The sequence below is a fragment of the Homo sapiens genome, chromosome 18, assembly GCF_000001405.40.
Source record: "Homo sapiens chromosome 18, GRCh38.p14 Primary Assembly".
In the NCBI taxonomy this organism is placed as follows: Eukaryota; Metazoa; Chordata; class Mammalia; order Primates; family Hominidae; genus Homo; species Homo sapiens.
Genome location: NC_000018.10, coordinates 10,656,878 through 10,673,369, shown reverse-complemented (window position 1 = coordinate 10,673,369; position 16,492 = coordinate 10,656,878). Strand labels below are relative to the sequence as shown.

General features: G+C 44.3%; 1 protein-coding gene and 1 long non-coding RNA gene across 10 annotated transcripts in view; one reads left to right on the top strand and one right to left on the bottom strand.

Moving 5' to 3' along the window:
* PIEZO2 (piezo type mechanosensitive ion channel component 2) overlaps positions 1–3,123 on the top strand; it is a 479,323-nt gene extending 476,200 nt beyond the window's left edge. For all 9 annotated transcript variants that reach the window (XM_047437735.1, XM_017025918.3, XM_047437736.1 and 6 more), the window contains 2 exons: positions 497–680; positions 1,591–3,123. In XM_047437735.1, the coding sequence (XP_047293691.1) occupies positions 497–680; positions 1,591–1,843 (437 nt within the window). In that variant the 3' untranslated portion in view covers positions 1,844–3,123. The remainder of the gene's footprint in view (positions 1–496; positions 681–1,590) is intronic.
* LOC101927410 (uncharacterized) lies at positions 6,483–11,437 on the bottom strand. Its single transcript, NR_110777.1, has 3 exons — positions 11,190–11,437; positions 9,796–10,049; positions 6,483–9,546 (listed from the first exon to the last, which is right to left on the bottom strand). It is a non-coding gene; the product is annotated as an uncharacterized LOC101927410 (long non-coding RNA).
* Between the last annotated feature and the right edge of the window lie 5,055 nt (positions 11,438–16,492).

Here is a 16,492-nt window from a genome sequence, read left to right as displayed (position 1 = left end):
GTGCCCATAAATTGTGCTTGTGTATACAGTCTTTTCCCATGGAGATAAGGAACAATGTTATATGCAATTTTGGAACCCTTTAGCACCTAATTGAGTGCCTTCCTCCTATGAGACATGCAACAAATGCTGGTAATATGAATGGACTGGTTGATTTGATCACAAGTCAGAAATTTGGGTTTTTAAATGTCTACAGAGTCATTTGGGATTATCAGCTCAGCTGCTCAGGTGGTGGATCCTCTACTTTTGCCCTGTGGTTTTGCTGCCATGCCCATGTAGCAACAGCGGCTGACCTCTCTCACTGAAAAGGAAAAATCACTTACATACCCAGGGCCCTCTCTTCCTTGCCCATTCACGCTTCTAGTATGTCCATGCATCCTTTTCATCCTAGAACCTTATGCTATAGTTAGTAACCAGATTTTGCCATCTGAAAACTGTTGCTGTGCATGAAATCCTAAAATTCTCATGTCAACTTAATTTTGCATTTCTACCCTTCTAGAAAATAATTTCATGGATATTACCATCATTTTGTCCAGAGACAATACAACTAAATATAACAGTGAGTGGTGGGTTCTCAACCTGACTGGAAACAGAATATACAATCCGAACTCTCAGGCCCTGGAACTGGTGGTCTTCAATGACAAAGTCAGTCCCCCAAGTCTGGGGTTCCTGGCTGGCTATGGGTAAGGACTCATTGAACAATTCACAGTTACAAGAGTCTACTTCTGTATCATGTAAAGTTGAGAGTGGGAAGCCTTTTATCTTCTTAGAATTCGCTAATTTTAGAGCTGCAGTATTAAAATGCACACATCCTTGTGTGCATTTTATTTCAAAAAATGAGGCACCAGAGTCCCAAAGAGATCAAAACTCCCAGTGTGACTCACACAGCCCAGGTATATGGCTTCTTTACTCCACGTCTTCCTGTTATGGCACAGTTTAATCCAATCCCATGTTTACTTGTATAAATTAGCACAGAAATATCACTTTTCTGCTTAGATTTCCTTCTAATCCTTAGCAGATGGATCTATTAGACATCCTGCTTTTGAACTTCTGAAACATCGCATCATGTTCTGATGCTTAAATCCTAGGACACGCACATCCCCACAAGACACAAATGTAAAATATTGTATTTCTCAAAGTTAGCCTCATAAGAAATGATTTTCACCCAGAATTTTATAAAAATTAATCTGAGAGACAGTATTGCTAAAAGGAAAGGAGCCTGCCACAGAAAATCATATATAATTACATTTCTACCAAATACATTATATGGTTTATGCATTTAATATATGCAACAAAACCACCTAAAGTTCATACATGAAACGGTTAGCATTGATTATTTACAGAATGTGAGATTGTAAAGGACTTTCATTTTTCAAGTCTAACAGTTCTGTAATACATAATTCTATTTTCTATTTATAATAATTCTATAATAAAAAGTCAACTTTTTAACCAAAGGGAAAAAATGTAAGATTTGATTTGCTTATTTCTTCTACAGAATTTGAGGGAAAGTAATATTTTTTTCTTTTAGACATGCTTTTCTTTATTAACTATATTTAACTGCTGTATGCAATTTCTACTTACTGTTTTTTTCAGTATTATGGGATTATATGCTTCAGTTGTCCTTGTGATTGGGAAATTTGTCCGTGAATTCTTCAGTGGGATTTCTCACTCCATCATGTTTGAAGAGCTTCCAAATGTGGATCGAATTTTGAAGTTGTGCACAGATATTTTTTTAGTTCGAGAGACAGGAGAACTGGAGCTAGAAGAAGATCTCTATGCCAAATTAATATTCCTATATCGCTCACCAGAGACAATGATCAAATGGACTAGAGAAAAAACAAATTGAAACCTTAGAACACAGACTGCAAATAATGTTAACATTTGAATTTTTTTTAAAAGCACAATATTCTCATAAGAGCTAAGCATTTCTAGTTCGACGGAAATGGTTTGTTTCTCTTCTGATAGGTAGACAAAAGGAGCTGATATCCTTCTGCAGTAAAAGCTACCTTGCAAGTTAAGGCACTGTTGAAAATGTTATTTGTAACTCCATTTCTCTGAAATCAGGGCTACTTGCTTTATGTTTTAGTCAACAGTGTCTCGCATTCTGATTGATCATGTGAAGGAATCATTTATGGGCCCCGTCCCTAAGAGAAACAGAAGAGGAGTCAGAAAGAAAGATGCCTGTGTTTTCCTCTGTGGGGCCCGTGCACTTCCTGGAGAGATGCTACAATGCAATATACAGCGCTCCATCCCCACTGGGGAAGCTGCTGTGATGAGACTAGATGAGCCTTCAACACACTCAGAAAATGCAACAGCAATAGGGGGCAGACAGCTCCTACCTGTGTTTCTAGGAGCAAAAGAGAGGGAACTAATTGCCCGTGAAGACGCCAGTGGAAGGATCAGCCTCATTCTAAGCAAAAACATAGTATTAGTGATACTCTTACTGCCTTATCTTAACCAAGGACTAATAGGATACCTTTCCATTAAACACCAGTGACTTCTCAGGAAAAAAAAAAAAAAGGAGCAAAACAAATGATGTGTACACCTGCTTTGTTATGGTCCACCAGTGACCAGCTTCAATGAGGGGAACCATTCTGGAGGGCTGCGGTCTCCTGTGCAAACAGACATGAGGCAGAAGAGTAAAAAGACCAACCCAGTGGGACCTAGAATACTTTGTAACTCTTTAATAACTGAGGTCAGGACCGCTCTTCTGCCTTCCCCTTCCCTTAACGTGCTTTTTCCCATTTCCATGATTTAAGGCAATGGTTTTTCCAGTATGTGACATTTTCCTTCCTGTTTTTCAGGTATATCAAAGAGTTTACATATTCCAATTCACATTTTTACATCTGAGACGGGTTTTTTAAGTTCATAATTATGAAAGAAATATGTATATTGAGCTTGGGGAAATAAAAATGGCCTTTTCTTAAATTATTATTATTGGTAATACAACCTCTTCATTAAATAACAATGTAGCATGAAAAATTTATGATTGAAATGTAGTTTTCATTCCATATTAAGATACAGTTTCTGAGAAGAATCATTGAATGGACTAGAATATGTCAAAAATTGATCCTGTGTAGTTTGGGTTCAGGGCTGACTTAAAATAAAGCACATCCTGCAAAGTCATTTTAAGAATATTCCTTATTTTGCTTTTTTGCATGAAATAGAAAATGGATTGTTTTGATACAGTGTACAGTTTTTTTTTTTAATCAACTGAAATAAGAATCCACTTCTTGCTGGTTCTGTTTTGTTTTGTTTTCCTCATATAAGCAGAAAACAACTAACAAATAATTTCCAAAAAGGAAACTATTACAGTGAATATGGAGCTTTAAAAAAGTAGCAGACTTCAAATGATTTTGTGTCTTGTACAGAATTAATTAGTGCATATTTATTCTTAACACGGTGAAAGCCAGCACGCTTCCCCCTGTGGAGATAAACTGCTTCCATCATTGCAACAATAAACTCAAACCACTTAGCGGAATTCTTGCATGAAGTTCTGATTTCCCAACAGCAGAAAGAATCATGGTGCATATCTGGTTGTGAGTTCTTTCTTTTAAAAAAAGTCAACAAGGAATTTCCAGAAAGCAAATTGTAGCTCATTTAGAAAAGATTAGGCATAGGAAAATGCTCATGAGAAGAAAACGTAAAGATCAGAGGATACCAGAATTGAAATATTCCTCAAGAAAACAGTTTCCAGGGTGTCAGGCAAAAGCCTCCAGATGCGTTGAGAGGAACATATTGCAGGAAAGAGTGCCGGCCAAAAAGGGCACTCCTTCCAGAATTGCGTGTGCTGGACTGGAAATCACACAGAGAATGCCAAAGCCTGGCTTCTGGTCCTGGCCCAGTCACTATGGGGATGGGAGACCTGGGCAAATGGGTCTCTCACCCTCCTCAAGCCTCCTTTATCTGACACCATCAGGGATCATCAAGCTCTAAACAGCAACATGTTAAGGTTCAAAGGGCGCCCACCCCAGCCAAGCAGCCTGCTGCCACCTTAGATTGGGTTCTCTAAACTCTGAGACAGAGTCACATGAGGTCATTTTAGGGCAGTGATCACAGGTTATACAGGTCACGGAGGAAGGCAGGTCCAGGCAGAGAGAAGCTGCAGTTGCAACTGAGCCCTGGAACTGGGGTAGCCCTTCCTTTATCCCAAGCTAAGCCAGGGGTGTTTGGATCCCACACCAGCAAGCCATTGTCATAGCCATCCCCTGGGCAAGGACTTAACCTTAAATGAGGGTTTTTGCCTTTGAGGGACAGGGCCAGCCATGGGCATGTGGGTGTCCAGAGGGGATCCTAGGAGATTGCATTACCCATCACTGTCTACCCTTGGACACCGGCTTCCAGAGTAAGCCTGTGAGGTCTTACTTCTCTTGCAAGGGAAGAGCAAAGTGAAAGGAGCTACAGGCCCCCCTGCAGCTGGTTTCAAGGCCAAAGTGAGACTCATCACCCACCCCTCCCGCACCCTTTCGAGATCCCTTCACCCTTGGCCAGCAGCCCTGGCGGGGTCAGCCAGACCCTGAAGCCGAGGGGCCCAAAGTCCTGGTTTCAAGCCCTCCTCGGGTCCTGGCTACAGCTTTGCCTCTTTGTCATTCAAACTGGGCACCAAGCACCAAAGAGGGATGATCCCCTGAGCACCAACATACTCTTCCCTGCCTGGCTGGGTGGCAACAGCCTCCTTGTTCTGCTGACCTGGGTTGATTAGCCCAGTCAGTAAGGTGACCGCTTGCCTTGCCATATCTGTGGCATTTGTTCCCTTACTGTACTTCTGAGTCATCCCTTCCCAAACCATGTTTTACTTTTTCGCTAATTTCTTCCCGAATGCTAACTCATTTCTGAGTTTTCTAATTCTGATTTTTATTGTTCTTTCATGTCTTCTATTATTTTCTGAATTTATGTGAGTTCATTTTGAAACACTGGATTATGGTTTCCACCCATTGGTGAGCATGTCTTTCTGGCAAACTTTGACAGTCTCAAAGGCCACCAGCCTGCCCCTTATTCTTTTTCACTGGCCACATTTGGTGTTGGATTGATGCACAGTCCTTCCCTGTCACTCCTTTGCAGGGGTTGTTTCCCTGACGTCAGGGTAGGAAGCTCTTCCAGCTTCGCAGCACTGGAGGCCCCTCCGCTGTGGTTTTCACTGGTTCCTAAGTGCGCCCTTCCTTCCTGAGACCTCCGCTCTGTCCCCCCGCCCACTCTGGGCCCTCTCTTCCCAGTAGCAACTGGTCTGCGCTGCATAGACTCTCCCCAACAGCTTCTTCTCAGGGCCGATGTGGCATGGGGCCTGGTCGTGGGAGGGAGCTACAACCTGTCACTTTGGAGAGTTTACAGGCCTAGCCCTGCGCAGCCCCTCACCCACCAATGAGTATGGGGAAAAGAAAACCCTCCAGGGTCCAGGGGCCATCGCTTGTTTGGGTGACCTGATCCCAGCTCTGCCTGGCAAGGCCGTCCTCGTTCCTCTCTTCTCCCACCTGTGAGGGGCTCCTCCTGCAGCTGTCATGTCATTCTTTGGAGTCCAGGTTTGTCCTGGCCTAGTTCTCATCTGCACTTCTTTTGTTTGTTTGTAGGGGAGGCAATAGGGCATGACTGAGGAAGTGCCAGGCTCTAGACTGCACTACCTTTATCTGCCCAGAATTCCCCTACACAGACTCTTAAGCGCAATATTGAATGAGGAAAGAATACATTACATTTCATGGAGAAAACAGTCTGAAACTACATTGCCCAAGTTAGATTTGGCATAAAAGCACTTGGTACAAACAGTGCACACAAATGATTGGTTCTCAGAGTCTACATTGTTTTGAATAAGGGGCATTTTTAAAAATTAAAATATTATTATTATTTTTGAGATGGAGTCTCGCTCTGCCACCCAGGCTAGAGTGCAGTGGTGCAATCTTGGCTCACTGCAAGCTCCGCCTCCCGGGTTCATGCCATTCTCCTGCCTCAGCCTCCCGAGTAGCTGGGACTACAGGTGCCCACCTGTAAGCTCCGCCTCCCAGGTTCACGCCATTCTCCTTCCTCAGCCTCCAGAGTAGCTGGGACTACGGGTGCCCACCACCACGCGTGGCTAATTTTTTTGTATTTTTAGTAGAGACGAGGTTTCACTGTGTTAGCCAGGATGGTCTTGATCTCCTGACCTCGTGATCCGCCCGCCTCGGCCTCCCGAAGTGCTGGGATTACAGGTGTGAGCCACCGTGCCCGGCCTAAAATATTAAAGTGTTATATTAAGACATAAGTATCTGTGGTTATATTCCCACATATTTTTATTGAACACATTTGCCTATTATTCAATCTATTTTATTAGGATTTTCAGAGTAGTATTTTTCCCTATTATTTGCTTTCTAGTTTATAAAGGTTTTTATCTTTATTTTTTTTTTTACTTCTTTGTGTTATTCTGTATTCTTCTTCTGACCTTTTGGGTTGGATACATAGCTTGGTACTGAGCTATCTAGTGTGTCCCAAATCAGAAATATAAATGCTGCAGACTTAGAGAACTCATCATTTGGAAGTTTATTTAAATATTCCCCATTACTTCAGCATTGCAAATTTGAGTATTACATTTCAGCTTTTAGGCTGCATGTGAGACCATGTCCAGATGTTCATCCAGACCCACAGCATGGCAGAGGCCTTGTTGTTCACTGGCAGTCTCCATCAGACCTTCCGTCCCAGGATGTTCTTTGGAGGATCTTCAAAGGCAACCTTCCTGTGGCTGCTTCTCCGTGTTTGCAGTTTGAAAATGGACTAGAACCACTAGCACAAGACAGCGGTTATCTTGCATGTCCATAGCAAAGATATTAGTATCTTAAATGTTTAAATTATTATCCTTTACAATGTTGCCTTTTCTAAGTTTGTATTATTTATACTTCTAACACCATTACAGTTTAAACCTGCAGTAAGACCTTTGGGAAGCCCTGTGTTTTCTTCCACGTAAGACTAAGTTCTGTACCTGAGACCTTCACAGCAGGGTTGCCACAGACGTCCAGAAGCACGGCAAGTGTAGGTATGAAAGCAAACCAGATGGTGAGAAAGGGGAGAGAAAGGCTTGCGGAGGGAATGTCCTGGAGGGAAGTTCGAAGAGACAGAGGAACTTCGGCAATTACGCTAGCATCGCAGACCTGACCCCCGCTGGAGTTTCTTTAAGGTATTCAGGGAAAGCCAGATAAAACTGTGCCTGCCTCTCCCACCCAGACCCTTACTCCATGTGCAGGGGCAGAGAAAGATTGCTGGAGATGGTTTCAGGAGCTGAGAGACTAATAATATCAATAATGTTCCAGTATTTGCTCTTACGACTATGTGTCAAACCCTGTGCTAAAAGCATGAGCAGTCAGAAACAGAAAGAGGGTTAGAGACTTGCCAAAGATGTGGTGGAGCCAGGACTTGCCTTGTTTCCCAGGAAGCCGGTCTGCACTGTGGGCCAGCCATCCTGCTGGCACTGCTTCTCCACCAGAGGCTCCTGTTGCTGCCTGGCGAGCACTGGCCGGAGAGCACCCCCACTTGTCAAATCGTGCCCCGCACCTGGGTTCCCACATACCTGTTTGGTATGGCCGGTGTGGGGGTTGGGTACTGGTGAGCAACTTTCCTCTATGCCACCTCTGTGCCTTCCACGTTATTTATTTCCCAGGCTAATGAATTACCAACAGGGAATTTTCAACCTGCATCCTTCAAGTAATGAGGGCAGTGGAAATGACTCTCCCCCAGCACCTCACCCAGCTCTGTCTCCAGCCCCTTTGCTCTGAGGTCAGAGAGTCAGATGGCTGCAAAAGCTGAGAGTATTCTGAGCTTACTCTCAGAATACTGAGAGTAAGAGGCGTGCCAGGTCTAAAGTGCCACCCAGGTCAAACTTGGGCGATTGGACGACCCTCCAAGGACTGCTAGAACCTCTGAGGTGTCATACTAAACCACAGAATCAGACTTTCATGCTTGGTGGCCTGGTCTTTCCATATTCCTTGATCATCTCACAAATTAGCTCACATGAATACAAAAATGCTTACCGATACGGATGATATAGAAAAATACGACTATTATTAAGGTCAATGCTTTAACAGATTAGGTTTTGATGTCTTTTCTATCTCAATCAAAATGAGACTTGGGGACATTTGACACTGACAGCTGGTGAAATCTTACCCTGCCCTTCACCAGATGCTCCATGCCATTTGCACTAACAGTACCCACATGTGCTTCAAAGCTGCTACTGTCGAAGGGAAGACAGCCCTCCAGCTCCACCCTGTCCTGGGGAGCTCGTGCAATCCACTCACCCTCCTTGGTTCGGCCACTTGGTTCTCAACCCCACATAGGAGGAGCACTTTCCTAAGCCACTGAGATTGTCAGACTTCCCTGGGGAAGTCTACTCCTTGGATCAGCCAGAAGGCATAGAGAAAAGGGGAGAAATTACCTTCCAAAGTGAAGGTTGTCTCTCTGTTCCCAACCTTGATGAAATCGCCAGAAAAGAACGTTTGACAGAGAGGCTAAGGCACTTTCTGCTGTGTGCCCCCTGGTCCCAGAGAAACAACATGCATTGTAGTTTTCATGGGGGCAGGACCCTTGCTAAGTGCTGTACGTACATGATCTCATCCATGCTCACCGCAAACCCAGGGGGCGGGTATTACTTTTCTCATCTTCCATATGTAGAGATGGACACACAGGGTAAGTGCTGCTCAGTGGGGCGTGGCCAGTGCTCAGAACCACCTGTGCTTCCCGGTAGCAGGAAACCACCATGCTATGTGAGCGAGTCCCAAAGTCCATCTGCTAGTTATACATCCATTCTTTTATGGATAGACAAGTGAAAATAGCTGAAAACAAAGACTGCTCCCAAGTAACTTTTTGGGGTGTGAAGTACAGTACCAGCATTAAGATAATGATAAAGTATAAATGGGTGTCTCATTCCTAGTCTATCCTTGTTGGTCATTCCTACTTTTCCATTTGTCTTTGGCTGTAGATTTAATGTTTGCAACAAAGGAGTTATTGGTCAAGATGGGAATGTTAATTTACCTGAGAAATCTGAGTATCTGAACAATAGTGTCATGATTTCTACAAGTGTCTTATTACTGACTAGAAGACACAAGGTGAAATAAACAAATTCATAGGTTAAAAAATGTTTCAATAGTAAACATGAATAGTGTGCACAACATAAAATAATAAAGAATTGTGTTTAGAGAAAGAAATGGAGAGATTCAGGGGGATTTTTTGAGTTGGGAGAAGATTTTCCCCAAAGTCTTTCTTCCCCCCAGTGTTTCTTTGCACACATTCACATTTCTAATTCTCATTCCTCTGGGCAATGCAGTAACACCAGCAAAATAATGTGCGTGGCAGGCAAGGACACACCTCCCGGGCCTCGGCCCTCCTGCAGCTCTTAGCAAAGCCCCTGCCTCAAGCCCAGCTCTGCACCTCAGGCCCGACTGCGGGATCCGAAAGGCTAAGGGGTTGGGATTTGGTGAGTTCCCGCCTTTCTCCAGGATGTGGGGAGTGTGCCGGCCTCATCTATCTCACATGTCTCCACGTCTGCAGCATGGGCATCTTCCTCAAGATGAGTCCATCTTCCTCATGGGCATTTTCTCCCTTGGTAGGAAGTAGGGAGAAAAAAAATATTTACAGCTAACACTAAATGTTAATTTAAAACCCTTTACTCAAAAGGAAGGAACTGAAGCTAAATGTCCCAGGTAGTGACCACGCAAGAGGAATGGGAATTGCTGATGGTATTTCAATAGCTTTGGGCCCTAATTTCTAGACTTTCTGGCCCACACTGAGGTCGGGAAAGAAAGGGCTTCTGAAACGCCACTGCACCCAGGAAACCTCAAGTTAACCAACCAGGTGTTTCTATTGTCAGTCCATGGAGAGACTGGTGCAGCCCCCAGAGCTGCTAGAGAGCAGGGGTTGGGTGGGGGGCTCAAGAAGAGAAGCTGAGGATGTGCCTTGAGTCCCAGGAAAGGTCGAAAGAGCTGAGCTCCTGGAGCAGAATTCTGGAAAAGCCTGTGGGGTGGCCATGCAAAGGCGCTGTAGCACAGCTTGGCAGCTTGCTTTCCAAGAGATGGGCTGGCACCGAGCCTCAAGTCGGCAAACTCCTGGATTTTAGAAGAACAATTAGTTGACATTATTGCATCACGATCAAGCAATGTAATGCAGCCCATAGAGAGGCTCCCCCAGGGTTGAGACTTGGAAGAGGCGGCCATGTTCTATTCTCTGCACCTGCAAACTTAGTGCCTGGGTGCAGCCTCAGACACCTGGAGCCCACCAAGTGGCCCCGTGTCCACCACTGTAAGCCCCTGGGCCATGTCCTCTACATGCCTGTCGCCTTCCTCAGTCTCTCAGCCTGTTCATGTCTTTACTCCTCATGGGTCCTGCCTCATGTTCTTCCTGGCTTTGGTGTGTGTTGTCCTCATTCACTGACAGTTTCAGCTGCTAGTTGTTTGGTGGTGGGGGGTGAGGGTGTAGAATTGGGAAAATGCTGCCGAACCAGCTTCAGTTTCCCAGAGTGGAGGAGGAGGTGGAAAAGAGGCTTTCAACATGATCTGGCCTCCAGGTAGAAACCCAAAAAGATGATGGGACTCTCCCTACCCCTCTGGAGTTGTCTTAGACTCAGGGTTTCTGTCCCCTTCCCAGCCAAGTTCCATTTGTAAAATATAACTGTTCCCTTCCACTTCTCAGCAGTCATCAGGCTCTGGGCTTCTGAATGACATGGTTGCCTTGGGTGTAGATTGGGTATTCACCAGGCTCCAAACCATACTCAGAGCTGGCCTGGGGAAACTCAGACGCTGATGAGTCTAAGGGTCGCAGAATGTGTGTAAACGGCCTGGCTCTCAGTGGAGGGTCAATTAATGTGAGCTCTCCCTCGAAAGTAGCCTGAGAGCAGCCCCAGGTTCTAAATAAGTCATCATCCAACTCAGCCAGATCTGCTCCTCCGGACTCCTGTGCACCCAAAATATGAAGTCACCCTTTGAGAGGTACTTAACATTGGCACTGAAAGCTGCCCCAAGGATTCATCTTTCCCCTGATGGCTCTGTCTCTCCTACCAAGGTCACTTCATGGGTGATGCATGTCACCATCAATGATAAATTTCATCCATGCCAGCAGATTTAATTCCCTCTTGCCCCTGGCAGGCAGCTCCAGGGACTCTAGATTGATAACCCATTGGCACCTCAAACTCAATAGCCCCAATACCAGTGTCATGATTTCCCCCTCCAAGCCCCCATTATCTTGCTTGCCTGTTTGCGAACTCACTCAGGCTGAACATCTTGGAGATGCTGAATCCTCATGGCTCAGGCCCTGAGACTCTGATACAGGGACAAGGTCCAAGAATCGATCTCTGTTTAGCCTGTGCAGATGGTTCTGACATCAGGGAGGCCTGAGGGCACTCCTCTCCCACACTACTCTCTGCAGGATCCCCGCTACATCTCTCCATATCTAAGATACCTTGCTATCTTGTGGAGGATGCTCAGTAAGCACTGATTCTCCCTCTCTCTCCCAGCCAGGATGGCCATTCCCTGTGCCAGGCCCCAAAGGCTTCTGCTTCTCCTCACCACTCCAAAAAGGGGTGCTGAGACACTGAGAAACTAAAGCTCCAGACATGGAAGCCACATATTCATTTCCTTTACTTTCACTTCCTGATCATTTACACCTTCTCAGGTGTAGGTCAAATGCCTAATGAGAAAACTAGGTCGAGTTTGTTGAGAAATGCAAAGAATATTTGCAGCCTTTTAAAAATGATGGCCAATAGCTCAGAGCCAAGTGACAAATAATTGGAAATATCTGGTTGGCCTCATTAATAAATGATATTAAATGAAGCAAAACTAGTGGCCCCTGGCCTGGCCTCTAAGCTTACTAGCAAAAGCAGTGAGTCACCTACTTGGCATACATTCAGGAACACTAAGTCTCACACCTCACCCAAGATCATTCCCCTCCCACTGTGTTACACCCAAAAGGATTTTGAGAAGAAAAAATAAATTTGCTATCCTTAGCTACTAGAGAGAATGCCTAAACGCAAGCACCAGGAAAGGTAGCACATTGCCTTGAAGTTACGGTAAGGGGTGGATTGCCTCTGGGAGACAGTTTTGATATATGGGAGGGAAACGAGTGAGTAAATGACAAGGTGAGAGTAGGGAAAACTGCAGCCCCCTAGGCAGGCACATCACCCAGGAAGAGTGCCTGGAAAGCCGCCTGACTGTCTATAGGATGCAGTGGTCTCTAAAGTTAGAAAGTATAAAGTCCTTTTACCAAGTCTAAAACAATGCTAAATCATAACTATACCTCCTGGTGTGGGAATATAGAAAATGAAAATTTTACTACATAAAATTGGGTTTCCTCTGTTAGCTATTTTTTTGTAATTCATTTATCTTTTGACATTTTTAATCAAAATGACATCTCAGTCACAGCCAAGTTTCTTTCTGGGAAAATGTTATTTCCATGAATTTTGTTCCATCTCATGGAGGAAGCTTTATGCAAACCAGAGGCACAGTAAGCTGAGGGAAGTTGCAGGGTTCCCTCCCCTGATTCCCAGGGCCTCGGTTAACATTCTACTCTCCCGGCCCAGAGGAGCCGCCCAGAGTCTGACCTCTGAGGCCACTGGCACATATGCCGGGAGCTTTTGGGGCCAGGCCTTCCTAACACAGTCATAATACATTACAGAAGGCACACCAGCAATTCTAAATTATGAATGATGCTGTATCGTGGCAACCAGGCTGATGCAAAGCAGTGAACTATTAATGAACCTTGCCGATGACTGCATCTCACACCATCCGTCACGTTGCCCTGAGCCCCACAGCAGATTCGTAGCCAGCAGTTTCTGTTTTGCTGCCCTTGGGACAATTAGCCCATAAAATGAAAGAAAAGAAAGAGACAAAGACAGTGAGGGAGGGAGGGAACAAGGGAAAAAGAGAGGGAAGGGAAGGAAGGAAGAAAAAACAACCAGGAAAACAGAGAAAAGACCTCTGATATGAGTTCCTACATGGAAAACAGGGCCCCTCTGCAGAACAGGCAGACAGAGGGCTCTGCCACAGCGTGGCCCTTGCAGACCACAGTCGCCCTAAGAGCCTAATCAAGTCCCCTTCCCAAGCTAGGTTCGGGGCATAGAGAGCACCAGAGTTGATTAGGCTCCACAGGCACTCCAGAAGGGAATTGAGCCAAAGAATCAAGGGGAAGTGTAAACATAAATCATCACCCCCAGGGACTGCCTAACGGAAACCTGCATGAAAAGGATGTAGGGAATGAGCTACAGAAAAGGGGATACATGTTTCAGAGAAAGAATTAGAAAGAGGGAGGTCTACAAACTAAGGAAACCTCTCCAAAAAACAACTGCTGCTCTTCATTCGCCTCACCGCAAGTCCTTCAGCTCCTCCTGATCACAGGGGAGTGAGAGGCAGCTCGCTTGCTCGCCAGGGCTTGCTATTTGTTCAGGTGGCGAGAGAAAGAACCCAAATGGGTCATTTCTAATACAAGAATTTGCACCAAAGAAATCCATCCAAACAACCTCTAGGGAGACGTGTCTTTCATAGCTGTCTGGCCTCCATGTGTTGGCCTGCCTTGTCTAGGAGAAGGGTGGGCAGAAGACAGAGCCCAGACTTTGAGGCTCTTTCTTTGTGGTCTGGAGTTGTGGCAGGGGCACAGCTGCACAGCCTTCCCGAGTCTCCATGTGCTCAAGAGTAAGTCATGAATAACAAGCCTGCAGTGGCCTTACAATGGTGCTAAAGAATAAAACGAGATCGTGGATAGCCAGCTACAAATAACTACCTGTGTCAAGTCCTGTCCATTAGTAAAGATGGCCAGGTAGAGGAAAATGACATATCCTCTTAATCCATATTTGTATCAATTTTGACAGAGATAAGAATACAGAACAAATGTACAAAATAATAAATTGGACCTAACTATATCACCTTCAAACATACATAAACATAGCTGCAAGGAGAAATGGACAAAACTAGTCATAGCCATGGTGGGAGATTATAATATCGCTCACTCAGAAACTCATAGCTCAAGCTGAACAAATAATCAGGAAATGGTTATCAATTGATATCCTGCTGTGCCGTTTACCCGACACATTTCTCCCCTCTTTCAGCCACATGGTCGGATGACACGTCCTAACTCCATCTCCTATGCATGGCTCTGTGTGATGAATTCTGGCCAATGAATGAAAAGCAAAAGGGGTATGTGTCACTTTTGGCCTGGAGCATTTAGTTGCCCATGGGGAAATCCTCCAGAACTCTCTGTTCCTTTCTCCCTTACCCTCTGACATGGCAACTGTCAACATTTGAAATGTAGTTGTTCCACCAACCTGTGCCTCTAAGAGCTACCACTAGCAGTCCCCCTGCATACCTTTAATACTTATGTAGCGTAGGTAAGATATAAATCTTATTGTTTTAAGCCACAGAGGTTTGGGGATTATTTACTACCGTAGCATGATCTAGCCTATCTTGACTAATGTGTTCTTAAATCAACATTAAATTAAATTACAAATGATTAACCAAAAATAAATGATTAAATTATGGTAGAACATAAACTTCTATGGTAGAATATAAATTTCTAAATAATTCATGAGTTTAAAAAATGTACTGCAAACATGTCAAGCTCATCAAAAATGTAACTGCTACATATCTGTTGTAGTCAGTTGGGTTGCAATTGATACAGGAGATAAAAAGAAATTATTTAGGCAGTTAGTGAGGCTAGAGAGTCCTTGGGAAACCTTCCCTTTTAACAAAAAGCAGCTCCCAAATCATTTCTTTCCTAGCAAAGAGCAGCCTATAAAATCCAGCCGCAGACATGGATAAGCAAGCTGGAAGCTTGCACAGGTGAATGCCAGCAGCTGTGCCAACAGGAAAAGGCTACCTGGGGGCCAGGCATGTTCAACATGGAGGCTCCATCTTCCCTTTTTGTCAACCACGTGTGCAATAAAGAAGCAGGCAAGATGGTGCTGGCCAGGTAGAGAAACAATTTGCATAATAAAAAGATTAGGGTAGGGCAGCCAGCTTCCTCTCATGTTATGTAAATGACACGCCTGGTCCGACCAATCTTTTGGACCGTATGTAAATCAGACACTGCCTCCTCAAGCTCATCTATAAAACCCCATCCATTTTACCACGGAACCGGAAGACCCACTCAGAAGCCCCTCTCTCTCTCTGCAGGAGAGAGATCTATTCTCTTTTCCTTTTGCCTATGAAACCTCCGCTCTTAAACTCACTTCTTGTGTGTCTGCAGCCTCAATTTCCCTGGCGTAAGACAATGAACCTCAGGTATTACCCCAAACAAATGATGCCACTTCACTATAACAAAGTACCGAAAGGGTTGCCAATGGTGATGCAGAAATTTATTTCTCAGTCCCAGAACCTGGAAGTCAGAGATCCGGGTGCCAGCGTGGTCAGCTCCTGCTGAGGGCTCTCTTCCAGGTGCACACTACCAACTTCTTATATTTGCACACGGCAAAGAGCAGAGAGAAGCAAGCTCTCTAAGCATTCTTTTAAGGGCACTAGTCAGATCCATGAAACGGGAGCCCTCATGACCTCATCTAATCCTAATCACCTCCCAGAGGCCCCACCTCCTAACACCATCACATTGGTAAGGGGAGGATTTCAACATTTGATTTTGTGGGAGACACAAACGTTTAATCCATAACAACATCAAAGCTTGTACAATGTAAAAATAATAGGAGGCCAGGCATGGTGGCTCACGCCTGTAATCTCAGCACTTTGGGAGGCCAAGATTGGCGCATCACCTGAGGTCGGGAGTTCGAGACCAGCCTGACCAACATGGTGAAACCCCATCCGTCTCTACTAAAAATACAAAAATTAGCCGGGCGTGGTGGCGTGAGCCTGTAATCCAGCTACTCCAGAGGCTGAGGCAGGAGAATCGCTTGAACCCAAGAAGTGGAGGTAGCAGTGAGCCAAGATCGTGCCACTGCACTCCAGCCTGGGCAACAAAGAGAGACTCTGTCTCAAAAAAAAAAAAAAAAAAGTAAAACAAATAAAAATAATAAATAGAAAATCAAATTTAGTATCATATATGTTTTAAAAAGAGCATATCATGACTAAGGTACATGCCATTAATCCAAGGATGGCTCAACATCAAATAAAATGAGAGAAGCAGTAAAATCATCACACGTTAAATTCAGAATAGAAGTATTTGCTAAAATTCAATGCTTATTTATAATTTATAAAAATATCTTAGTGAAGTAGGAACAGAAAGGAGCCCCCTTGAGAGGATAAAGGTCATCTAACAAATGGAACAGTAAAACTTTAGAGACCCCAGCAAAGTTATGAACAAGACAAGGATACTCATTAGCAATGATTCTAACAAACATTACACTGGATCATCTCAAGAAAGCACCAGGACATTGAGACAATAAAAGAAATGAGAAATCTTAAATATTAAGAAATGTTTTTAAAATGCTGTCTTTATTAATATGATCGTCTATTTAGAAAATCCAAGATAATATACACAGAAAATAAGTAAAACTAATAAGAGAATACAGCAAGGCTATTGAATAATAGATTTACCTATAAAAACAAGCAGCATTCCTATC